At 55.5% G+C, this 24,048-nt stretch overlaps 2 protein-coding genes across 29 annotated transcripts in view, besides 9 other annotated features; one reads left to right on the top strand and one right to left on the bottom strand.

The window, feature by feature from the left end:
* Positions 1 to 2,418, top strand: part of CORO6 (coronin 6) — an 8,151-nt gene extending 5,733 nt beyond the window's left edge. For 8 of the 18 annotated variants that reach the window (NR_170977.1, NR_170978.1, NM_001388437.1 and 5 more), the window contains 5 exons: positions 138 to 242; positions 333 to 478; positions 844 to 901; positions 1,005 to 1,235; positions 1,326 to 2,418. Coding sequence is in view for 16 of the 18 variants with exons in the window: in NM_001388437.1 (NP_001375366.1) it covers positions 138 to 242; positions 333 to 478; positions 844 to 901; positions 1,005 to 1,235; positions 1,326 to 1,448 (663 nt within the window). In the remaining 2 variants the exon portion in view is untranslated. Of the gene's footprint in view, positions 1 to 137; positions 243 to 332; positions 480 to 843; positions 902 to 1,004; positions 1,236 to 1,322 lie in introns of those variants that run through there. The other 10 variants (XM_011525387.4, NM_001388431.1, NM_001388435.1 and 7 more) reach the window with 4 other exon arrangements.
* Positions 1,177 to 2,040: an enhancer, noted in NCBI's record as "H3K4me1 hESC enhancer chr17:27942158-27943021 (GRCh37/hg19 assembly coordinates)". NCBI's record gives its function as "activates a minimal SCP1, AML or CMV promoter by ChIP-STARR-seq in naive H9 embryonic stem cells {active_cell/tissue: H9 hESC(naive)}" and the evidence as "EXISTENCE:reporter gene assay evidence [ECO:0000049][PMID:30033119]".
* Positions 1,385 to 1,598: a silencer, noted in NCBI's record as "fragment chr17:27942600-27942813 (GRCh37/hg19 assembly coordinates)". NCBI's record gives its function as "represses an EF-1alpha promoter that drives an FKBP-Casp9 reporter gene in an ReSE screen in K562 erythroleukemia cells {active_cell/tissue: K562}" and the evidence as "EXISTENCE:reporter gene assay evidence [ECO:0000049][PMID:32094911]".
* Positions 1,456 to 1,505: a silencer, noted in NCBI's record as "silent region_8383". NCBI's record gives its function as "represses an Ori minimal core promoter by ATAC-STARR-seq in GM12878 lymphoblastoid cells {active_cell/tissue: GM12878}" and the evidence as "EXISTENCE:reporter gene assay evidence [ECO:0000049][PMID:35858748]".
* Positions 2,046 to 2,115: a silencer, noted in NCBI's record as "silent region_8382". NCBI's record gives its function as "represses an Ori minimal core promoter by ATAC-STARR-seq in GM12878 lymphoblastoid cells {active_cell/tissue: GM12878}" and the evidence as "EXISTENCE:reporter gene assay evidence [ECO:0000049][PMID:35858748]".
* ANKRD13B (ankyrin repeat domain 13B) lies at positions 2,419 to 24,048 on the bottom strand. 11 transcript variants are annotated; one of them, XM_005257920.6, is made up of 15 exons: positions 23,445 to 24,048; positions 9,303 to 9,438; positions 9,070 to 9,194; positions 8,940 to 8,985; positions 8,186 to 8,329; positions 7,905 to 8,094; positions 7,759 to 7,825; positions 6,414 to 6,495; positions 5,537 to 5,601; positions 5,174 to 5,304; positions 4,907 to 5,097; positions 4,626 to 4,778; positions 4,365 to 4,528; positions 4,217 to 4,293; positions 2,419 to 3,826 (listed from the first exon to the last, which is right to left on the bottom strand). In XM_005257920.6, the coding sequence occupies exons 1-15, from the start codon at positions 23,982 to 23,984 to the stop codon at positions 3,598 to 3,600; spliced, it is 2,340 nt and encodes a 779-aa protein (XP_005257977.2). In that variant the 5' UTR covers positions 23,985 to 24,048; the 3' UTR covers positions 2,419 to 3,597. The 11 variants fall into 11 exon arrangements, with proteins under 11 accessions (XP_005257977.2, NP_689558.4, XP_016879664.1 ...); NM_152345.5 differs by having other exon boundaries at positions 4,907 to 5,064; XM_017024175.3 differs by lacking the exon at positions 23,445 to 24,048 and adding an exon at positions 22,986 to 23,297.
* Positions 2,906 to 3,769: an enhancer, noted in NCBI's record as "H3K4me1 hESC enhancer chr17:27940429-27941292 (GRCh37/hg19 assembly coordinates)". NCBI's record gives its function as "activates a minimal SCP1, AML or CMV promoter by ChIP-STARR-seq in naive H9 embryonic stem cells {active_cell/tissue: H9 hESC(naive)}" and the evidence as "EXISTENCE:reporter gene assay evidence [ECO:0000049][PMID:30033119]".
* Positions 2,906 to 3,943: a biological region, named in NCBI's record as "H3K4me1 hESC enhancer GRCh37_chr17:27940429-27941292".
* Positions 3,444 to 3,553: a silencer, noted in NCBI's record as "silent region_8381". NCBI's record gives its function as "represses an Ori minimal core promoter by ATAC-STARR-seq in GM12878 lymphoblastoid cells {active_cell/tissue: GM12878}" and the evidence as "EXISTENCE:reporter gene assay evidence [ECO:0000049][PMID:35858748]".
* Positions 3,714 to 3,943: a silencer, noted in NCBI's record as "silent region_8380". NCBI's record gives its function as "represses an Ori minimal core promoter by ATAC-STARR-seq in GM12878 lymphoblastoid cells {active_cell/tissue: GM12878}" and the evidence as "EXISTENCE:reporter gene assay evidence [ECO:0000049][PMID:35858748]".
* Positions 22,860 to 22,929: an enhancer, noted in NCBI's record as "active region_11982". NCBI's record gives its function as "activates an Ori minimal core promoter by ATAC-STARR-seq in GM12878 lymphoblastoid cells {active_cell/tissue: GM12878}" and the evidence as "EXISTENCE:reporter gene assay evidence [ECO:0000049][PMID:35858748]".

Here is a 24,048-nt window from a genome sequence, read left to right as displayed (position 1 = left end):
GGGGCCTGCAACTCTGGTCACTAGAGGTTTGGGGCATAGGGTTTGGGAAGGCCAGGAAGCGTAAAGGGGCTTCTGGGGGTCCCGAAGTAGCACGGGAGGGTGGGGCAGGGCTGGTCACGCCTCCTGTGCTCGGGCAGAACAACTTCGAGGAGCCAGTGGCACTGCAGGAGATGGACACAAGCAACGGGGTCCTATTGCCCTTTTACGATCCCGACTCCAGCATCGTCTACCTGTGTGGCAAGGTGCTCACGGCCGGGCAGGGAGAACAGGGCACTGGATGGAGATGTGGAGGGCCTTGTCCGGGCGCGCCCCTGAACCGACTGATTTTGCAGGGCGACAGCAGCATTCGGTACTTTGAGATTACCGACGAGCCGCCTTTCGTGCACTACCTGAACACGTTCAGCAGCAAAGAGCCGCAGCGGGGCATGGGTTTCATGCCCAAAAGGGGACTGGATGTCAGCAAGTGTGAGATCGCCCGGTCAGCAGCCTTGGCCCCTCCTGAACACCTACCCGCCTCTGTCCCCCACTCATGTCGGGTCCTAGCCACGGGGCTTCCCCAGTAATGCAGTGCTTTGGAAAAGCGGGGCGGGGGGATAAGACAGCTCTGTTTCAGTGCCAGACCCACCGCTCACTAGCCTTACATTCTCAACTTCAGTTTCCTCATCTATAAGATGATGGTGAACACACCATCAGGGTGTTTTATTGCAGAACCAATAATGTGTGTAATGTGCAATATGCATGGTAGGCGCTGAGCAAGTGTTGGCCTCCAACCCCCTTGGTCTTAGACAGGAGAAGTTAAGGACGTGGAAGTCTGCGAGGGTGCTGAACCCTGCTCCCTTATAGGTTCTACAAGCTACACGAAAGAAAGTGTGAACCTATCATCATGACTGTGCCCCGCAAGGTGAGGGGCCGGGAGAAGGGTTGGGCAGGGCTACGAGGCGGAAGGGAGCGGAGCAAGCCCCGCACCCTCTCACGCAAGTCCTCCTGTCCACCCACCCCCGCAGTCAGACCTCTTCCAGGACGATCTGTACCCGGATACGCCAGGCCCGGAGCCGGCCCTAGAAGCGGACGAATGGCTATCCGGCCAGGACGCCGAACCCGTGCTCATTTCGCTGAGGGACGGCTATGTGCCCCCCAAGCACCGCGAGCTCCGGGTCACGAAGCGCAACATCCTGGACGTGCGCCCGCCCTCCGGCCCCCGCCGCAGCCAGTCGGCCAGCGACGCCCCCTTGTCGGTAAGATCGGCCCTGCTGCACTCTGGCCCAATCTACATCTCCCCCAACCGCCCCTATACGACACGGCCTCTCTGTCCTCCGCCCCAGCAGCAGCACACCCTGGAGACGCTGCTGGAAGAGATCAAGGCCCTCCGCGAGCGGGTGCAGGCCCAGGAGCAGCGCATCACGGCTCTGGAGAACATGCTGTGCGAGCTGGTGGACGGCACGGACTAGCCCCGCGCGCCAGGCAGGCGGAGCGGGGCGGGGCGCACAAGCTCGGCCCCGCCCCGGCTTTTAGTCCCGAACTCCGGACCCCGCCTTCTTGGGCTGGGCCCGGGGGCGGGACTGGGGAGGGAACTCCGCCCCTCGCGGGAGACCAGAACTCTTGGAGCTTAGGGGAGACCCACGTCGCTCCAGCGGAGGCTGGACTGCGAGCCTCGTCTGGGACTCGGCTGGAGCTGGCCTAGGGAGGCCTGGGGTAACCTGGGGGGCTCAGCAATGGTGCTGCACGGCGAGGTGGTGTCCCCCTTTGTCCTCCGCCCAGGGCAGGGAAAGTGCTTAGTATTAGCGTGATGCTTGGGGTTATTGGAGCCTGAGCTTGACCTCAAACGGGTGGCGATTTGATGGGTACCCCCAGGCTGGGGAAAATGACAGCGCTTCTCCTAATCAGCTCACTGGATTCCATCACCCTGAGCGGTAAACCAGATGGGCGTCACCCCAGTTCTGCAGACACATACACAACCCGTTTGCTGCAGAGCCGGACCCAGTGGCTACACCCACAGCGGTCTGTGGTAGAGAACTCTCTTCCTTCTTTCCACCGACAGGGGCGAGGGCTGCTTCCTCGCGGCAGCCCCCGCGAAGAAATCTCGAGAGAACTGGCATGAGGAGTTAGGTTCATCACAAATACACACACACTGCCCCCAACCCTCTGCCGTTGCCTCTCTCAGAAAAACAAGACGTACTGAATGAAATATTTTACTAAGCGTTCAGTCTGTGCCTCCTGCATGGGTGGGAGTGAGGGGAACGAGACCCCCAGCCTCTGCAAATGCTACCCCCAGGCTCCTGGGAGACCTGGCGATGCACTCCTGGGCTCAGGGTCCATCAGGCAGCCTCTTACCCTAGAGCTCTCTCCACTCTGAGGTTCAGAAGGACCCCAACCCACACCGTAGGCGTTCCCCCCAAGTAAAGTTAGGTAGCAAAAGCCTCCGGTATGAAGCCTCTTTTATTTGTGCCTCAGAATCAGTCTGGTGCCCCTGGCATCAGGGAAGGGGGTGGGAGGAACAGTTTCTCTTTGTTCTTTTCTTCCATCCCTCTTTGTGTCCCTTCTGAGCCTCACTGGCTGAGCCGGGAAGGCCAGTCCCAGACAGGCCCGGGACAAGGGTGTGCGGTGGGCCCCTGCCCCTGGCGGGGTCTGTGCTTCTCTGGGTGGGTGAGGTGGGGCAGGGGAGAGCCGGGGGTTAGCACCATTGGATGAAGGGTTTTAGAGTCAGTCTCCGTGTGGGGGCAAGTGGGATGTACAACCACAGAGGCTAGCAGCAGCTGGTGGGAAGGGGTGGGGGTGGCGCCAGGGCCCTGGGCGAGCCCTTTGTGTCCAGTCTACTTGGGTCTAGTGCTTACCCCAGCCCAATATGCTCCCCACTCTCCGAGGCACCATGAGGGAGTCAGGGCTTGCACAGGCCAGGGGGCTACGTTGGACACACTCCCTGATCACAAAAAAAAAAAAAAAAAAATGTGCCTTGGGGGATGGGACTCCAACTTCTGGCTGCCCAAGGAGAAGCTGGAACCACCCTGAGACCCAGGACGGGTGTGGGGGCTGGGGGAGCCGGGTACCCCGCTAAGTGCACTTGACGCTGAAATGCCGGGGTGGGGGAGGGGCTGGGCCCTAGACGTGCTGGTTTGTGTCTGGAACAAAGCAGTGACACAGCACGCGGGGAGCTCAGCTGCCCCCCAGGAGTGAAGAGCAGAGATGCAAAGGCTTCAGGGGCAGTGTCCTGGAGTGGGGTTAGTGAACAGAAATGCGGACCGGCCAGAAGGAGCAAGGGATAGGGACAGCGCTCCTCTAAGGATTCATCTCCCCCTCAGGACCGCCTGGCTCCGCCCTAGGACAGGACAGATCTGAGCCCAGGGGAGCGGGTTGGGGAATCAGAATACAGCAAAGCAGGGGGACCAGGCCGTGCCAGTTGCCTCCAGGGCCCTGGCCTGGGAAGGTACCCCGCGGCCATGCCGAATCCCTCCCCGAACCGTGCCTGCTGTGCTGCTGCACCCGCGAGGCGGTGGCTCCAGTCTCCAGCCGCCGCTCTGCAGGCGCGCAGGCCGGGGTTTGTCTGGCTCCTGGCCCTGGGCGTGGCGCGCGTGGCGCTGGCGAGGGTCCCGGCAGGGGGCGCTACTGCTCGGTCAGTGAGAGCCTCAGGATGCGCTCCAGCTCCTCCTCCTCCTGGCGCGCGCGCCGCCGCCTCTCCTCCTGCTCCTGCGCCGACAGTTCCATCGCCAGCCGCAGCTGCTCGTCGTAGCTCCGGAACACGTGGCCGCCGGAACCTGGCCCTGAGCTGGGCCGAGGGCTGGGCACTGACGCCGGGGGCGCAGGCTGGCGCTGCGGCGTGGGCGGGGCGCTCCTGGGGGTGGGGAAGGAATGTCGCGGGCTCCCGGGCGCACCCACCCACCGGCCGGGGCCGGGACACGGCGTGGAGGCTCCAGGGCGGCCCGCGGCCACCACCCTCTAGTGGAGGCGGTCAGTCCCGCGGCGTCCTGGCCCCCACCTGGTCGTGGCGGAGCCCAGACCCTACCAAGTTCTCCCCGTCAATGCCTGGGGAGAGTCTGAACTCCGCGGTGAAGCCTGGATCCCTGACCCCTGCCTGCCGCCTCGGAGGCAGGAGTGGTGGCAGAAGCCATCCCGATACCAGGAGGGTCCCTGCCGAGGGCCCCGCGGGTTCTCCGGCTGTGTCCTGGCTTAGGGGAGACAGGATCCTCTCCGGAGGATTCTCTCCGGCCCAGCGGGCACTGACCTGTCCTGTCGGCGACCCTCGTAGGACATGGGGTGGGTGCCTGGCTTGCTGTTGGTTAGCGCCTCCCAGATGGTGACCTGCGGGGAGGCGTGGGCGTTAGCCGTGGCGGCGCGGAGTCCCGTGGCCCCGCGCGCCCGCGGAGACGCACCTGGTCATACTCACTGCCCGCCTCAAGCAGGCTCTGCTGGATGGCGAATTGCAGCAGGTCGTCGTCGTCGTCCCGGGTCGCCGCCTCCCGCTGGCCGCCCATCATGCTGTAGCCGCGCGGGGCCTCGAACAACGCTGGGGAGATCTCGCAGCCGCGGCAGGAGGCTGGGGGCGCGGGGGCTGGGTCAGGCACGGCCGGGCGCGCCCCTCCCACCCACCCCGGGGAGAGCCGAGGGGCAGGCGTTCTCGCGGGGGGCCTCACTCGTGGAGCTGGAGCTGCTGACGCTGGAGGAGTCGCTGCCTGGGGAAGGCGTCTCGCTGCTGGGGCTGCCTCGCACCGATGGCACCGGTTCGTCGCAGCCGTTGAGGTTCCCGAAGGTGATGCGGGCGTTGAGGATGTGGAAGATCGGGATTTCTGAGGATGAGGAAACCTTTAGGCGCCACCACTCAGCCCCTCACACCTCAGCCTCAGCCCCACCCCGACCTCATCTAAACCCCGGTCGGCCCGCCACGGGCTCAGGAGAAATGGCCGTGCGGTCTCACCAATCTTAACTGGGAAGCCAGGAGGCAGACGCAGGGTGATGAAGTCCCGGAGCTTGGCAAAAAGCGCATTGCTGACGGCCATGAGGTCAATGATGGGGGCCACCTGCTCACACAGGGACAGGGGATGCTCCTCACACAGCCACAGCTTGGCCTTGAACCTGCCCCCACCAGATCCCAAGGGGTAAGGGACACTGCAGGAAGCCATGGCCTCCCAGCATCTCCTGGAGCCCCGGCCCCCCACCTTCCCAGCACCGGCAGGGGCCTCACTTCTGTGTCTTGGTGGTCAGTTCCATGGGGCGGCCCATATCACGGTTGCCCAGCTCAAAGTTGGGGTTGAAGTATTCTTCTGCAGTGATGGCAGTGGGGTTGGCTTGGCTCAGAGTCTGAGTGATCAGGGTCTGTACCACATGGGGAGGGGCCCAGGAGCTCCCCTCAGTTCCTAATGCCAGGCCAACTCATTTGTTGTCACAAGGCCCCCAAGCTGTCCCCTCTGCCAGTGTGGCGCTGACATGGCCTTGGGCATTGTGGAAAGGAGGTCCACATAGGCCATGCTAAGCAGGACGCTTCCCAAGCCTCCTCCTGAGCCACATCCACATCCCTCCACTTACGGGTACCCCTGCACACACTCACCCCATTTTGGGGGCCCCCGTGCTGCTCAGCGATTCCCAGGAAGGACTGCAAAGGTGTCTTACAGCCTACAAGAAATGTGGCATCTCAGAGGACACCGCAACTCCACACACACCTGGGCACCTCATCAGAGGTGACAGCACCCAAGACCTAGGGAGGAGGCCGGTTCCTGGGGTGGGGCCTGCTCACCCAACCACATACTCAGGCACCTTCACCTGAAGGGGACTGAGTGCTTCAAGGACCAGGGGCCAGGGCCTCTGTGAGCACAGCTTAAAACACTAAAAGGAAGGCCTAGAGGTCAGAAGCAACTTCCAAAAGTGCTCCTCTCCAGCTCGGTGACCCTGGACAGTAAAACGCCTGCCCCGGCAGGCACTGTGGGGTGTGCATGTGCGTGTGTGTGTTTGCTTCAGGCACTTCCATAGGCATGATTTCATGTTGTTCCCCTGTGAGGTAGAAATTATGCTTTTTCACCTCGGACACGGTATCTGGTACCCAGAGAATCAGGTGTGGCATCAATGGGCATACAGAATCTGTGGCAAGGTCCCCTGACTTTCTACCTAGGATATGTCCCACTAGACTAGAATGGCCAATAAATGGCATACATGGCATTTCTCTCCTCTCCCAAATTCAACAGCAACATTAGTAATCACTTGCAGCATGGCTCTCCACTGAACCCAGATGAGTCCTTAGAAACTTCTTAGTACTCTAGGCAGCCACTACCCATCCTTAGGGCTTGGCACCTGAATTGAAATCTATCGGCCTGAATAAAGCATCCAGCCTCTTGCTAGGATGCCAGTGGGAATACTGATGGAAGCACTGAAGTGGGAGCTGGTTCCCGCAGTCCTGCAACACCTCTCCCCATCCAGCTCTGCCTCATTACCTTTGACCTTGCCCTTGTGCTGTTCTGAAAGATGTTCTGTCCGTGTGCGGGTGATGAGCTCCACGTTAGATGCCCCATACACCTGGGGACAGATGAAGAAAGGGCTCATAAGCAGTTCTGGTCTTACCCTGTGTCTTACCCCTAAGGGCACTGGGAACACTCCCTGTAGCAAAGGGTCCTGGAGAGACTCTGCTTCAGGCTTTTGGGTAAGTGAATATATGAGGTCATTCATTCATTCATTCATTCACTTATTCATTCAACAAACATTTTTTGAGGAGCCTTTATGTGCCAGGCATTGAGGTAGGCATCAGGGATACAGTAAACAAGCCAAACATGATCCCTGCCCTCCTGAGACTTACAATCTCTATAAGGAGACAATAAAATGGAGTTATAACAGCATGGTCCATGCACTGGTGGGGGTAGCACAGAGGCCTTCCCAGACTACAGAAGCAGGGGAGGCTTTCAGAGGAGATGCCACACACAAAACCCATGGCATTTGTTAGTTCCTGCTTTCATGTCGTGGGCAACATAGGGGTCCCAGAGTAACAGGCAGAGCCTTTTTTTTTTTTTTTTTTTAGATGGAGTCTCGCTCTGTTGCCCAGGCTGGAGTGCTGTGGCGGGATCGCTGCACACTGCAAGCTCCGCCTCCCAGGTTCAAGCAATTCTCCTGCCTCAGCCTCCCGAGTAGCTGGGATTACAGGCGCCTGCTACCACACCCGGCTAATTTTTTGTATTGTTAGTAGAGACGGGGTTTCACCATGTTAGCCAGGCTGGTCTCGAACTGACCTCAGGTGATCCGCTCACCTCGGCCTCCCAAAGCGCTGGGATTACAGGCATGAGCCACCATGCCCAGCCAGGCAGTCATTTTTAGGGATAAAGGCCTGGCTCTAGGGTCAGGCCAGCCAGGATCTGAACCCCAACTCTGCCACTTAACAGCTGTGTGACCTTGTACAGGTCACAGAACCACTCTAAGCCTCTATTTCCTCATCATAAAATGGACCGATCATCCCTACTTCCTGGGGTTGTTGTGAAGAGTAAATGGGATGCCAAGGAAAGGACTCAATAAACATGCGTAAAATGGGAATACTAACAGAACAGCACCTACCAGAAAGGGTTGCTGTGAGGAATAAATGTGTGTGTGTGTGTGCGTGTGCACGTGCCCTGTGTATACATCCATACATCCATATAAAACACCAGAGAAGTGCCTTGAACCCAAATATAAGTGCTTGACCACGCTGCATTGCTTCTGTACCTCCAGGGCTGGGGAAGGGAGGTCAGAATCCCCTGTACAGCTTGCTGTAGGCAAGAGTGCAGCTGGGCTGGCAGCTGGGAGCTGCAGCCTCACCTTAGCTTCATACCCATTCACCATCTCCGTCTTTTCACTGCGCCAGCCCAGGATGCCAGTCTTGTTCCTGGGGAAGCAGAGTGGTCCAGGTGAGGCAGGCACCCCACCGGGCTGGCTCAAGGGTGACCAAGGCCATGTCCACCCACCTCTCAAAGGAGATATTCTTGGTGTCAAGCTGAGTGGTGACGACGGGCGCGGTAAGCCGGCTCAGCACCTGTTCCTCAGTGGGCTGAGCAGCAGCCAGCAGCAGCTCCCGGTCCTGCCCAGCCAGTGCCAGAGTCTCTGTGTACACCACCCGGCGGTCGTGGTCAATCTCCATGACCACGGCGCTTGTGTCTGCCAGACACGGAACAGCACAGGGGGATCAGGGGTGGCCTGGGGCTGCCTCCCATCGTCCCCACCCTGCCCCACTTCCTGCCTGCCTGACCTTGGCCCCTGAAGACAAAGCTGCGGTTCCCTCGCTGCCAGGTCATGTGGTCAAAGCCCAGGAGTGTGGTGTCTACCCTCAGGTTCTGGCCGCTCTTCCACACTTTGTAGGTGTCACTAGGGCAGATCTTGGACACCAGGGGCACTGGTGGAAGCGGAGGTTGGAGGTGGCTTTGACTGGTCTGGCCTACACGGCCTGGACCAGCTCAGGGCATGGGGTTTGGGATCCGTGTGGCCAGGAACAGGGGAGGGAACTGAAGAGAGAGCAGCCTCTCCTCCAAAACCCCCTCCCTGGCCAGTGTAGACCATACTCACACAGAAGAGCAACCTGAGGTCGGGACGGGCATGTTTCTGTCACCACTAAGTCCCTAGTGTCCATCATTTGTTAATTCACTCACTCACTCTTTCATCCATTCTTTCAACAAATATTTATGAAACACCTACTGAGTGTTCCAGCCACTGGGAATACAACAGTGAAAAAGACAGGACTCCTGCCCTCTCAGAGCTTACCTTCTAACAAGGAGCGGCAGGTCATGAATACAGTAAGCAAATCATGACAGAGTGAAGAGAATAATAATGGAGTCAAGACAGTATCTGGGGCAATCTGGAAAGGCCTAGCTGAGGCGGTGGCCCTGAGCTGAGCTAAGGCATAGAGGGAACCGCCGGAAGAACTATGAGAACACATTCCAGGCAGGGGAGCAAGCGCAGGACCTAAAGTGGGAGAGCCCAGAAGCGACCTGCTGCAGCCCGCTTACCCCAGCTAGTGAACTCCCATTTCATCTCCACGTAGAAGTCCTGGGCCTGGAGGACGAAGGGGAGAGAGGCTAAGTCTGCACTGGAGAAGGGCTCAAGGGCTCCCGTGGAGGCTGAGAGGCTGGGCCTCACCTTGCGCAGCTTCTCCAGGAGCACGGGGATGCCCGCCAGCCGCTTCACCACCCGCTGGTAGTCCCGGTACCGAAGCACCAGCTGCACCAGCTCCAGGTCCCGGGTACTCACAGCCTCCTGGAGCACTGGGGGAGGGCGAGGCAAGGTCACAGGGCAGGACCCTTCAGCCAACCATAGGTCTATGATGCTGGGGAGGCCCCGGCTGTGGGGCTGGGGTGAGCAGGGCTGCCCACCTGTCCAGCCGCTGCGATTCTCCCTGCCCACGTCTGCGCCGTGCGCCAGGAGCACACGGGCACACTCAAGGTGCCCCAGCGTGGTGGCCAGGTGCAGGGGAGTCCGGCCGCGGGGATCCAGCTGCTCGATGTCCACCTGGAGGAGGAGGAGGAGTGGAAGATAAAGCCCCAGTCACGTCGGAGGCAGCCCTCCGGAGCCAGACAGCCCTGGAGCAGGCAGCAACCCCCACCCCCTGCTGGGGCTGCTCTGCCTCACCAACCTCACAAGGCAACGGAAAGACAGACACTATGGGCAACGGAAAGACAGACACTATGAGCAACGGAAAGACAGACACGTGGATGGAAAGGGGCTTAGAAGACAGGACAGAAAGTAACTCTGGAAGAGGGAGGGCTTCCTCCCTTCCTGTCCACCAAGGGCCCCTGGCTGGGTCCTCTCCTCCAGGGCCCAGTGGCCTGCCTGCCAAGAATAAGCCTGGGACTGAAGTGGGGTGGCAAAGAGGCTGTTGGCCAAGGAGCTCACCTGGGACCAGACCTACCCTAAGGGTCCCAGGCCACCTTCAGGAAGAGCTACCAATTTAGATCACTGACATTATCACTGAGTGAGGTTTAACAAACGGTTACAGTAATACACAGACAGGAATGAAATAACAAGTTCATGGTATTAATACAATTTCACAACCATGTCCTGTGCTTGTGGGACACTATGCATTAAAATTTGTACAAATCCTATAATTTTGTGAATAACATGATTACATTGCATGAGATTTCTGTTGTGTGATAAAAGTGATAAAAGCTTTTTTTGGGGTTTTTTTTTGTGTTTTTTTTGGGGGGACGGAGTCTCACTCTGTTGGCTAGGCTGGAGTACAATGACGTGATATCAGCTCGCTGTAACCTCCGTCTCCCAGGTTCAAGCGATTCTCCTGCCTCAGCCTCCCAAGTAGCTGGGATTACAGACATTCGCCAACACGTCTGGCTAATTTTTTGTATTTTTAGTAGAGATGGGTTTTCACCATGTTGGCCAGGCTAGTCTTGAACTCCTGACCTCAGGTGATCCACCTGGCTCGGGCTCCCAAAGTGCTGGGATTACAGGTGTGAGCCGCAGTGCCCAGACAAAAGATTTTTTTTTTTTTTTTTTTTTTTTTTTTTTTTACTTGAGACAGGGTCTCACTATGTCACCCAGGCTGGTCTCAAACTCCTAGGCTTGAGCAATCCTCCTGTTTCAGCCTCCCAAGCAGCTGGGATTACAAGCCCCTGCACCTGGCTTAGAAAGCATGTTTGTTAAACGTAAGTTTTGTTTGTTTGTTTGTTTGTTTGTTTTTTGAGACAGAGTCTCACTGTGTCACCCAGGCTAGAGTGCAGTGGTGCCATCTTGGCTCATTGCAACTTCCGCCTCCCAGGTTCAAGCGATTCTTGTGCCTCAGCCTTCTGAGTAGCTGGGATTACAGGCGAGCACCACTATGCCAGGCTAATTTTTGTATTTTAGTAGAGACGGGGTTTTGATATGTTGCCCAGGCTGGTCTCTAACTCCTGACCTCAAGTGATTCGCCTGCCTTGGCCTCCCAAAGTGTTGGGATTACAGGCGTGAGCCACCACGCCCGGTCTTAAGCATAAGTATTTAAATATATTTCGAGAGTCTAGGACTTCTGGTTAAGAACAGTGAACTGACAGGCCAGGCGCGGTAGCTCACGCCTGTAATCCCAGCACTTTGGGAGGCCGAGGCGGGTAGATCACCTGAGGTTGGGAGTTCGAGACCAGCCTGACAACATGGAGAAACCCCATCTCTACTAAAAATACAAAATTAGCCAGGCGTGGTGGCCCATGCCTGTAATCCCAGCTAATCAGGAGGCTGAGGCAAGAGAACCGCTTGAACCCGGGAGGCGGAGGTTGCAGTGAGCCGAGATCATGCCACTGCACTCCAGCCTGGGCGACAAGAGCAAAACTCCGTCTCAAAAAAAAAAGGAACAGTGAACTGACCACATGCATGTAACTCCCTCCTCTTCTCTGAACTTGATTAAAACGCCAGTAAAAAGGCTTCTACTCCTACCATAATAAATGAAATTACTCTGCCACCATAAACAATGAGAAAATTATTGCTGCAAAATATATGAAGGCTGGGCACAGAGGCTCACCCCTGTAATCCCAGCAATTTGGGAGGCAAAGGTTGGCGGATTGCTTGAGCCCAGGAGTTAGAGATCAGCCTGGGCAATATGGCAAAACCCCATCTCTACAAAAAATACAAAAGAATTAGCCGGGTATGATGGCCTGTGCCTGTAGTCCCAGCTACTCAGAGGCTGAGGTGGGAGGATCGCTTAAGCCTGGGAGGTTGAGGCTGCAGTGAGGTATCATCACACCTCTGCACTCCAGGCTGGGCAACAGAGTGAGACGCTGTCTCAAATATATATATACATATGCGTGTGTGTGTATATATATATGTGTGTGTGTATGTGTGTGTGTGTGTGTGTTTGTGTGTGTATATATATATATTTCTCTATATAGAAAATATATGTAAAGAGAAATAGCTGTTTTTAGAAGTCCAGAACTGTGATCCCTGAAGTAAGGAAAATGAACAAGGTGAGCTCTGTAACATCCCTGGATTTCTGCCTGGAGGAACATTCCAGACTGTAATTCAAGGAGGGGAAGCCCGAGCAGAGCATGGTGCTCTTCCTGAGTTGAGAAGATGGAGACAGGATTCAGGGAAGCCAAGGTATTAAAGGTTGCAGCAGAGCACAGTTCTGGAAAAGAGTAAACTACTCAAAAAACTCCAGAAATCTGCATAGGGGTCTCTTCAAGTCTTCCTGAATACTAAACTTCACATGTGTATAGTGAAACTCAGTAAGACCACACAAAAAGGAGCAATAAAATGGTAAATTCTCAGAGCTCACCAAAAGCAAGGAGATAATCAAGCTCCAGCCTCCTAGAGTGGAGATGCATATTTAATCAGACCTCAGAAGGGTTATGCCTTAGCAGTAGAGCTAAACTATCCCTAGAGAAAAGGCTCACCTAGACCCACCCTAACAGATTAAAAATTAGCCTCAGGCCGGGTGCAGTGGCTCATGCCTGTAATCCCAGCACTTTGGGAGGCGGAGGCGGGCAGATCACCTGAGGTCAGGAGTTCAAGACCAGCCTGGCCAAAATGGCGAAACCACATCTCTACTAAAAATACAAAAAATTAGCCGGGCTTGGTGATGGGTGCCTGTAATCCCAGCTACTCAGGAGGCTGAGGCACAAGAATCACTTGAACCCAGGAGGCGGAGGTTGCAGTGAGCCAAGACTGCACCACTACACTCTGGCCTGGGTGACAGAGCAAGACTCCATCTCAAAAAAAAAAAAGAAAAGAAAAGAAAAAGAAAAAGAAAAATTAGCATCAAAGGCCAGGCACGGTGGCTCACACCTCTAATCCCAGCACTTTGGGAGGCTGAGGCAGGCAGATCACTTGAGCCTAGGAGTTCAAGACCAGCCTGGGCAACATACCAAAACCCCATGTCTACAAAAAATACAAAAAATTAGCCAGGTATGGTAGCATGTGCCTGTAGCCTCAGCTACTCAGTGACTGAGGCAGGAGGATCCCTTAAGCCCAGGAGGTTGAGGCTGCAATGAGCTGAGATTGCCCCACTGCACTCAAGCCTGGGTGACAGAGCAAGACTCTGTCTCAAAAAAAAAAGCCTCAAAAAGGTCAAACTGATTTGCAAGTAATTTACCTAGTCTGCCTGAACAAAGCCCAACACTCTTTAAAGAACAATAACAAATCCAGATGCTTAACATCATATTTACAATGTCCAAAATTCAGTTAAAAATTACTAGATATGCCAAAAAGTAGGAAAATAAAACTTATAGGCAGGGTGCGGTGGCTCACGTGAGCCTGTAATCCCAGCATTTTGGGAGGCTGAGGCGGGTGGATCACGAGGTCAGGAGATCGAGCTTGCAGTGAGCCGAGATGGCGCCCCTGCACTCCAGCCTGGGCAACAGAGAGAGAGACTCCATCTCAAAAAAAAAAAAAAAAGAAAGAAAATATAACCTATAATCAGGAGAAAAATAATTTCATAGAAACAAAACTCAGAAATGATAAAGATGATAGATGGCTCAATATACTCAAGAGTTTAAAGAAAAACATGAAAAAGATGTTCATGAGGAGAGGAATGAGAGGTATAAAAAAGAACCCAGTGGACCATCTAAAGATAGTAAGTACAGTAACTGAAATGAAAAATTCACTGAATGGAAATAACAGCAGATTAGACACTGCACAATTTAAAAATCAGTGAATTTGAAGACAGCAATAGAACTTTCCAAACTGAAGCACAGAGGAGAAAAACAGTACTGAAAAATAAAGTTGGCTGGGCTTCTATAGTCCCAGCACTTTTGGAGGCCAAGGCGGGAGGTTGGCTTGAGTTCAGGAGTTTAAGACCAGCCCAGGCAATACAGCAAGACTCTGTCTCTACAAACAAAACAAAACAAAACAAAACAACTTTTACATTAGCTGGGCATGGTGGCAAGCAGCTGTAGTCCCAGCTCCTCTGAAGCTGAGGCAGGAGGATCCCTTGAGCCCAGGAGTTCGAGGCTGCAGTGAGCTATGATCACGCCACTGCACTCCAGCCTGGGCAACAGAGCAAGACCCTGTCTCTATGGAGCCTCATAATCTGTAAGACATTATCAAGCATTGTAACATATATCTATTGGAATCCCAAAGGACAGAATAAAGAAGTAGGACAAATAAGACAAATTTAGAGAAATAGGCCGGGTGCGGTGGCTCACGCCTGTAATCCCAGTACTTTGGGAGGCCAAGGCGGGTGGATCACAACATCAGGAGTTTGAGACCAGCCTGGCCAATATGGTGAAACCCCATTTTTACTAAAAATACAAAAATTAGCCAGGCGTGGTGGTGGGCACCTGTAGTCCCAGCTACTTGGGGGCTGAGGCAGGAGAATCGCTTGAACCCGGGAAGGGGAGGTTGCAATGAGCCGAGATCGTGTCACTGCACTCCAGCTTGGGCGACAGAGGGAGACTCCATTTCAAAATAAGTAAATAAATAATAAAAGAAAGAAAGAACGTCCAAAATTTTTCCAAACTTGATAAAAACTACTATGGTGGGTTGAAGAATGGTGCCCCTCCTAAGACATGTCCACATCACATTCTGACCCTCACAGCCTATGAATGAGACCTTATTTCAAAAAAGGGTCTTTGCAGACATAATTAAGTTAAGGATCTCAAGATGAAATAATCCTGGATCACCCAGGGGGCCCTAAATCCAATGACAGGTGTCTTTCTAAGACACTCAGAGAGGTGGGAAGGCCATGTGAAGACGGAGGCAGAGACTAGAGTTCTGCAGCCACAAGCCAAGAGGGTTGTGGCCCAGTCACCAGAATCTGAAAGAGACAAGGCAGGACTCTTCCCTAGAGCCTTTGGAAGGACTGCCACCCTGCCAACATCTCAAATTTGTATTTATGTCTCCCGAACTGTGACAGAATAAATTTTTTTTTTTTTTTTTTGAGATGGAATCTCACTCTGTCGCCCAGGCTGGAGTGCAGTGGCGTGATCTCAGCTCACTGTAAGCTCCGCTTCCCCGGTTCACGCCATTCTCCTGCCTCAGCCTCCCAAGTAGCTGGGATTACAGGCACCCACCACCACGCCCGGCTAATTTTTTGTATTTTTAGTAGAGACGGGGTTTCACCGTGTTAGCCAGCATGGTCTCGATCTCCTGACCTCGTGATCCGCCCGCCTCGGCCTCCCAAAATGCTGGGATTACAGGCGTGAGCCACCACACCCGGCCAAATATTTGTTGTTTTAACCCACCTAGTTTGTAGTAATTTGTTGTGGAAACTAATACCAAGATAAAGCCAAGAACCAAGAAATTCAATGAACCCCAAGTAAGACAAACACGAAGTAAACTACACCAAGGTCCATCATAATCAAATGCTGAAAACTAGTGGTAAAAAGAAAATCCTAAAAGCATTCAAAGAAATGAGGTCCATTATGTATGGAAGAACAGATACAGGAAATACTATATTCTTCTCATCAGAAACTATGTAAGCCAGGAAACAATATAATGAAATCTTTAAAGTGCTGGGGGAAAAAAACAAAAACAAAAACTTTCAACCTAGAATTCTTTTTTTTTTTTTCTCTAATCCAGTATGACTGGTATTGACCTAGAATTCCATACCCGGTGAAAATATTCTTCAAAACTGAAGAAGAAATAAATATGTTGGCAGACAAACAAATTCTAAGGGAATTTATTGCCAGATGTGCAGGAAATGTTAAAGGGAGTTCTTCAGGTGGAAAGAAAATGATCCCAGATAGAAACTTGAATCTGTACAAAGGATTGAAGAGTGCCAAAAAATGTTAAATGTATAAGAATGTCAGGAGGCCAGGCACAGTGGCTCATGCCTGTAATCCCAGCACTTTGGGAGGCCGAGGCGGGCAGGTCACCAGAGGTCAGGAGTTTGAGACCAGCCTGGCCAACATGGTGAAACCCCATCTCTACTAAAAATACAAAAATTAGCTGGGCGTGGTGGGGGATTCCTGTAATCCCAGCTACTAGGGAGGCTGAGGCACAAGAATCGCTTGAACCTGGGAGGTGGAGGTTGCAGTGAACAGAGATCGCACCACTGCACTCCAGCCTGGGTGACAGAGAGAGACTCTGTCTCAAAAAAAAAAAAAAAGAATGTCAGGCTGGGCGCAGTGGCTCATGCCTGTAAGCTTTGGGAGGCCGAGGTGGGCAGATCACTTGAGCCCAGGAGTTTGAAACCAGCGTGGGCAATGTGGTGAAACTCTGTGCTACAAAAAAATACTAAAATTAGCCAGGCGTGGTGGTGCATGCCTATCGTCCCAGCTACTGGGAGGCTGAGGTGGGAGGATCCCTTGAGCCAGGGAGCCAGAGGTTGCAGTGAGCAGAGATCATCCCACTGCACTCCAGCCTAGGCAACAAAGCCAGACCCTGTCTCAAAAAAAAAAAAAAAAAAAAGTCAGTAAAATATTTAAAACCCACAAGAATAAAGAGAAGAGATGTCAGCAGATGAGAAACTTCAACACAACTTTAGAACATGGAAAGTGGCTGGGGCCTCACAACTGACTTAGGGGAGCAGAGGAAGCTGAAACTAAAGCAGCCACAGAGGGAAACGTCCACATAAGGAGCAAGCCAGGTGACCCCCAGCCCCCCTGAAAGGTGTAGGTAGGACCTGCAGGCAATGGGGATGGCAGAGGTGGAGGTGAAGCTAGAGCTGAGTGCAGGGAGGCTGGTTACAATTCAGGATCCCCTGGTCCCCTTCCCAGCCTCATTAAGCTGGGAGATGCCCCCCTTCCTCACCACAGGACACCAGGGGTTTATTCTTTGTAGAAATTGGGCATGAGATGCTCTGGACTCAGGAGCATTGGCCACAGCAGAGGATGAGGTATGGTGCTGAAAGCCAGTGATCCGTGAAACCCCAGCCCCTTCCCTACCTGGGTCCTGAACCACTGGCAGCCAGGTCACACCACCACCACCCTATCTACCCGAGTAGGAAGTTGTCCCAAAGACCTCAGAATACAGACATCTGGTGACCCTACAATGAACAGGCCAGCCTGCCACCTGATCACCTTACAGTAGCACCCACACATCCCTGAGCTCCCCAGCCCCATTCTTAAATATGACCCAACAGCCAGGAGAAACTGGACACTTGATGAAAGCTTCCCATGTGAAATAAACCAAAACATACAAATTAGATGCTAAGACGGCTGGGTGCAGTGGCTCACGCCTGTAATCCCAGCTCTTTGGGAGGCCGAGGTGGGCGGATCACGAGGTCAGGAGATCGAGACCATCCTGGCTAACACGGTGAAACCCCGTCTCTACTAAAAATACAAAAAATTAGCTGGGCGTGGTGGCGGGCGCCTGTAGTCACAGCTACTCGGGAGGCTGAGGCAGGAGAATGGTGTGAACCCGGGAGGCGGAGCTTGCAGTGAGCCGAGATTGCGCCACTGCACTCTAGCGCGGGGGACAGAGCGAGACTCCGTATCAAAAAAAAAAAAAAAAAAAAAAAAAAAAACAAATTAGATGCTAAGAACCCAGAGGAAATTCTCTTGATGCAGGGAATAAAAGAAAACTCTTTGGGGGAAAACAGTAATTTACATCCTCAGGAAAAATATAAAAAGATCATTGAATTCATGAAACAAAATGGGACAGCCTGGCTTTCCATGACGTCTCCTGCCCTTTCTCTTGCCTTCTTCATTCTGGAAGTGACTTTCTTAACTTTTCCTTGTTTTCTGCATTCCTGGACAGCTGCACCTGCCCCCATAAACAGTAAACATCACCTGGATTTACTGCATTTTCAGGTGGAAAAAAAAACCAACTTTAAAACTGTCTACATCTCTTCTTTTTCCCGCACCCTCCACATCTAACCCATCAGAAAAACTTGTAGGCTCTGCCTCCAAAACAGACCTAGAAGCCGCCCAGTTTCCACTACCTTGCAGCTGTTGCCCCCCCATCTCTCACTGGCAGCCCCCTACTGCCTCTTTGCTGCTCCCCGGTTGCCAGGCTCTATTGTCCACCTCACCTATGGCAGCTAAAGTCACCCTGTGAAGTGTTACTCAGGTCCTGACACTCTTTAGTTCAAAATCTTCCAGTGGCTTTCCATCGTAGGTAGCAGGGAATCCAATGGCCCCAGACTTCTCTTTGAACTCATTTGCTCCACCCTTCGCCAATGGCCTTCCCCGGAACGTTCTCCAGGATCCTCCAGAGAGCCCCAAAGCTTTCTCCCTCCCTTCACTCAGGCTGCTGCTCAAATGTCACCTCCTTAGAAAAGCCCACCCTGACAGCCCATCTGAGGTAACAGCTGCTATGGCTCTATCCACTGCCCGTCCAAGTGCCTGTTGAGCACCTCCTGCACCTCGAACAGAAGCCCCATCAGCCAGGTCCCTGCCTGCTTTGTTCACTGCTGGTTCCCCACTCCCCAGGCAGCACCTGGCACATAAATATTTGCTAGACAAATGCATAGAGTACTAGGCTGAGGGGGCACAAGGAGGGGAAGGTAATTAACCAAGAAATCATTGCAGAAGTATATTGTTTATGCCGGGGGGCTCACGTCTGTAATCCCAGCACTTTGGGAGGCCAAAGTAGGTGGATCACTTGAGCTCAGGAGTTCGAGACCAGCCTGAGCAACATGGCAAGACCCCATCTCTACAAAAAAAAATACAAAAATTAGCCAGGCATGGTGGCACCACCTGTAGTCCTAGCTCCTTGGGAGGCTGAGATGGGAGGATCACCTGAGCCTGGGAGGCAGAGGCTGCACTGAGCTGTGATCACACTACTGCACTCCAGCCTGGGTGACAGAGTGAGACGCTGTCTCATGAAAAAAGAAAAAAAAGAAGAAGAAAGAAAGAGAAAGGGAGGGAGGCAGGGAAGGGAGGGAGGGAGGGAGAAGGGGAGGGGAGAGGGCAGTATAAACAATATATTGTTTATAATTAGGGAGGTAAATGACAAAAGGAGTCCAGAGTGCTGGGGAGGTGGGAGAGGCGGAGCAAGGAGCACTGCTTTTCATTACGCATCTTCTAGCAACAGTTAAATATTTTAAAGCATGACCATGAACTCCATTGTCAAAAATGAAACATTTTAAATAATTTAAGATTATTTATATAATTTTTATAGCCTTGTCCTGGAATTTCTTCATTTTTCAATATACTGGGAGCCTCAAAAAAACCAGCGGGCCTGGCCCCTGTTGGCCTCTGAGCTGTGGCCCCTCACAGAGAAGGGGAGTGTTGTTTACTCTTGTCCAATCCTGGTTGGGCTGGACTCCGGGGCTTGCAACCTGGGTGGGGTCCTGAGCCCGGCAGCGGGAGTGGGAGAGGGCCACAGGGCCCGAGCTGACTGGGGAAGTGCTGAGCAATCCAGGCCTCCCAGCCCTGCCCCAGATGCTGCAGCCGCAGCCGCTGCAGCTAATAAGACCCTAGGGAGCTGGCAGGCCGCTGCCTGGCCTCAGGGCTCCAGATGCTGCCTCCACCTCCCCATCAGGTGCCTCAGCTCCAGGCTCCAGAGAGCGGCTGGCACTTCCTTGCAAGCAGGGTGCTCCTCCCCATCCCCACACCTCAGGAGCACTCCCCAGGGAGGCCTGGATGGCTCAGCACCCCATACACCCCATGCAGAACCCCATACACTCAGCCAAGCTCCAGAGCAGCTCTCCCCACAAGCCCAGAGTGCCGCCTGCAGTGTAAGTGGCACCTTGCCCTGGGCCCAGGTAGGAGAATTCATTAATCTCCTCAGCAGAGGCCTCCAGCTTCTCCTCAGCAGAGGCCTCTAGCTATTTAATTGCTGGAATGAAAAGGTTTCCCATGAAACCCAACACCCAGCCCTCCCCACCAAGAGAACGGAGATTCCTTATCCCAGCAGGCCTCAGCTGGAGTCAAAAGGTGGAGTCTTTGGAGTTTTGTAGCTGGGGGTCCCTGGGCAGAGAGCCTCCCTACCTCCACTCAGGCACACACACCACACTCTAGTACACACTGGTACCATACAGATACACACTCGTACGCTCATAGGTACTCACGTGTGCCCTTAAGTGTACAAGCACATGCATGCCCAGCTGCCTTCTGGCCCTGCAGGAGTCCACTCCTGTGTAACGTGTGTGTGCGTATTTGCACAGGAACACCCCTCACACCCATGTGCACTAGCAGGGTACTTTCCAAACTCCTTTAGCATGAGCAGAATCCTTTTGTTAAGGGAAGTATGAAAAGCATACATCTCATGTATGGACTAAACACAGTGCTTGCGAGGAAGGTGAGGGACGCAGAGCCTGTGCTCAAGGTGGTGCCTGCTCAGCCCCTTCCCCAGCCCACGAGGAGGAAGGCAGGAGTCTGGTGTAGTCGTTGCTTGACCTCTCCTGCCCAGCGTGGGGTGCAGGGGCAGGTCTGCCTGAGCTCATTCAAGGGGAGGGAGGCAGGATGCATCCTCAAGCTGCGTAGGAGGCCACGGGCTGTGGGGACCGCACCCTGGACTTCTCCCTCCATGTCACCCCTCCCATCCTGCCCTTGCAGCCCCTCCCCCTCATCCCAGAACACATTGATTTTTGGTTTCTGGGGTTTGTGGCTCCCTCTCCCGAGCTTCCTAGCTTACCAGCTGTGGTGATGCCCCACATCCAGGACTGCCCAGTGTAGGCAAAGGGAGGGGTCTGAGGTGCTCCTCGCACATCCTGGGCCCCACAACCCATCTCCCCTGCCTCTAGGTCAGAAGGGTGAACAGGGAAAGCAGGAAGCAAGCCCACGGTGGAGAACGCCCCAGGGAGAAGGAAAATGATTCTCTGGGACCACAATCTGCCCACTTCAGGGTTCTGGTTGCCAGGGGCAGAGTCCTGCTCCCCAGGCCCAGCCCACACATGTCCCTCCCACGGGAGCTGCACAGGCTAACCCTTCCCCCTGTTCCCACCCCAGGGAACACCAGGAACTCACGACTCCAGAACCAGGACCATGCCCAGCTGGCCATGCCAGGCAAGGGGGAACTGGCATATTCCCTGGCTTACAACCCTGTCCCCCCCGACCTGGCAGAGAACATGCATAGCGGCAAGCAGGGCACCGGGCTGGCATCACAGCACTGCTGGGTGCCCCTTCCCTTCACCAGGCACCTCCTATCTGCCCATCACTCCCTGCTTCCAGCCTCCAGCAGAGCAATTTGGGGCTGAGCAAAGCCCATTAACCTGCTCTGAAGGTGGCCATGCTGGCCCCCTCCTCAGCCAGCTGCACTGCCAAGCCTGCCCACGGAGGGCCTCTGCGGGGCTTTCTTGGAGTGAAGAAGAGGCAGCTATGCCAAGCCAAGACCAGGGAAACCTGGCTCCTGAGTGCTTGAGGAAAGCCGAGCTGTTTCTGTGGCGGCTGGTACCAGGGGGACTAGAGGCCAGGGACCCCTGGCTGGGATGCCAGGGTTCCACAGTGCTTTTCTCATGATGTTAGGTGGCTGTCCCCAGGTCCCCCTTGCAGAAAACAGAGCCTGGTGCCCTGGGGAGTAGGCAGTGTACATCTGGATACAAGCCTCACTCTGGGCCAGTCCTCGAGAGGGGAGACAGCTAGGGAACTCTCCCACCTACACGGAGTGGCATTCCTCTTTTTGGCACGCCTGAGGGAAGGAGAGGACTGGCCTGGCTCCTCTGTGGTTGAACAAGGGTTAACCTCCACCAGTGCCCTATATTCCCCCTGGCCTGGATCCAGGACAGGCAGTGTCCATTTCAAGGAGACATTAACTCACTGGGGCAGGGGTAGGGGTGAATCTGGGACCTTGTTTCTGAGGCAGCCAGAGGGGTGGGAGAGAGAAACACATGAGCAGCCCCCAACACCTCTACCTGCAGCGGCTCCGGTGCCCCCCACCCCAACCTTACCCCAGCAAGATGGCCACCCACTTCAGGATTATCAGCAGAGAGGCCTGCTGGAGAAGTCTTTTCTCCCAGGGCATTCTGCCTCTCTCCAGTCTCTGCAGTAAAAGGACCACCCACCCTCAGGCAAGGGAGTGGGACTGAGGCATTCTGGAGATTCAGCCTTCTGCCTAGTGATCCTTGGACCCCTGGGAAGTTCTTCCCACATGAGGCTTGTCTTCTTTTGCTTTCAGGGAAGGAAAGCAGAGAAGAGCCAGCAGAGGCTGGCTGGCCATGTCTTAGCGCTTTGCACATCACCCTGGAATTTCCTGTTCACACTTGCTTCACCAGAACAGAGACTCCTTGAGGGCAGGGGTTGATGCCCTGTTTGTTCATCTGTTTCCTGGGGGCACTGTGACCCACTCTCTTTAACAGGCTTCTCGTGGCTGCAGAGCACTGCCTTTATGATAGATAAACAAAGACAGGGTCTGAGGAGTTCAGTCTGAGGAGAAACTCGGAGAGTGCTGGCATAGGCACAGGTAACAGGAAGTGGCCACCCAGACCGGCCCAGAGGCCTGCGGGCACAGGTCACTCGCATATTTACAGGGACTGCCATGCAGAGCTGGATGCCATGCAGGCCTGGGGGCTGGCTCAGCGTGGGACTTCAGAGACACATCCTGACCCCCAGCCTGCTCAGTCCGATGGCCTGCCCTCCACCTCCATGCTTCCCTTGGCGATTGCACAGCTCCTCAGACTGAACTTCTCATGACTCAATAAGCAGCCCTCAGAAGGTAAATTCCCACAGCGGGCAACTGCGCTAACCACCCCCAGCCCATGGCCCCAAGGTCTCAGACCCAGTCCAAAACTGGGGTTCTCAGCCTGCAGCAAGCCATGGGACCCGGGCCCAGCTCTGGCTCTTGCAGCCCACCCTGGAGGCGGGGGGTCATCTCTGCCATGAGTGCCTACCTGTGGCCTGGGTGCCAAGGGCAGAAGTGGCAATCTGTGACCTGTGCCTGCCTTTGTTCTGAAGCATGGCCAGAAGACATCCTGAAGCATGGCCAGAAGACATCCCCCCTTCCCCTGTTTTCTGGAGACCACTGCCCAGCCCAAAGCTGGTGACCCACGTGGCCTTACTGACCAGCAGAAACCAGGGAGCCCACCTGGTGCGCAGAACCTCAAGTCCTTCCAGCAGCCAGGGCCCCTCAGCTTCCTCTGCGCCTAGAAACCAGGCCCCAGCACCAGAGGGCAGGAGAGCGCTTTTCAGCACCTGGACAAGGCCCTTGGGGCCTCCCAAGAGGGTCTTTCTCCACTCCCTGTTCCTGAGCTGGGGCTGGGCTCTGAGAGATCCAAGGATCTGCCCAGTTTGAGAGCTAAAAGAGAAAGCGCTCACCGTTGGGGAGAGGGCGCTGGGTGGGGCTGGGGTGCCTGGGAGTGTGACACAGCCTCTTCCCCATTCTTGACCTATGGCCCCCTCCCCACGCAAGCCTTTCCCACCTCCGCACCCTCACTCGGGAGGTGTCGCCGCTCAACTGGCTGGGGCGGACTCTCCCACCACATGGAACACCGACACAGCCCGCAGCCCCTCCCTGCAGCCCTCACTGCCCCGGCGGAGGAGGGGCACAGAGGCCTCTACTCTCATCTAGGTGAGTCCGAAACACGTGTGGTCCCGCCCGTCCCGGCCGGAGGGGATCACCCTTTCCCGGTCAACAAGCACAAAAGCCGCGGCCGCAAACAAAGACGCGCCGCAAACTCGCCAGGGAGGCGGGACAGCCCGCGCCGCACCCCCTCCCCAGGCCGGACGGGCGTGCCCGGCCGCGGGGTCCCCGCGGCGCCCCGAAGGCGCTCCTACCTGGCCCGCGCGGACCTCCTTCTCCAGCTCGCGGTGGCGGTTGTGCCACACGAGGTAGTGCAGCGGATACTTGCCCTCGGGCCCCTTCCTGGCGGAGGCGTTGGCGGGGATCATCGCCCGCTCCTCATGCCGGGGCCGCGGCGCCCGGCCGGGGAGGAGGGACGGCGCCGGAGCCGGGGCCCGGGGCCGCGGGGCGGGGGGCCGGCGCTGCCTGCTCGCGGGGCTGCGGCTCGGGCATGTGCGAGCGGCGGCGGGCGGGGGCGGCGCGCCCGGCGCGGTGCGGGCGGCGCGGGCGACGGGCGTCCTCGCGAGGCGGCGGCGGCGGGCGGCGCGGAGAGGCCCCCACCCGCCCTGGGAGGGAGCGGGCACTCGGCGGCGCTGCGCGGACTCGCGCTCGCCTCCCACACCCCCGCACACAAAGACGCCGCTCGGCGGAGGGAGCAGGCGCCCGCAGCGGGCGCGGGGGCGCACGGGACGCGGGCCCCGGGGACGCCGCCGCAGGGACGCGCGCCCGCAGCCCCCGGGTCCCCACAGCTGCATAGCCCGGCCCTCAGCCCGAGCGGCCGGCGCGGGATACGGGGATGTGGGGATGATGGGGAGAGAG

Source organism: Homo sapiens, chromosome 17, assembly GCF_000001405.40.
Source record: "Homo sapiens chromosome 17, GRCh38.p14 Primary Assembly".
NCBI classification, from domain to species: domain Eukaryota; kingdom Metazoa; phylum Chordata; class Mammalia; order Primates; family Hominidae; genus Homo; species Homo sapiens.
Note: the sequence above shows the minus strand (reverse complement) of the source record. Positions and strands in the feature narration are given on the sequence as shown.

Bases quoted from the DNA above. Each gene is read 5' to 3' on its own strand.
- ANKRD13B (XM_005257920.6), bottom strand. From the start codon at position 23,984: ATGCAGCTGTGGGGACCCGGGGGCTGCGGGCGCGCGTCCCTGCGGCGG. The intron at 9,195-9,302 runs GTGGGCAGCCCT...GCCCTCCCCCAG, and splicing joins GAATCGCAGCGGCTGGACAG to TGCTCCAGGAGGCTGTGAGT. The intron at 4,779-4,906 runs GTGAGACCGCAC...CCTCATCCTCAG, and splicing joins TGGCTTCCCAGTTAAGATTG to AAATCCCGATCTTCCACATC.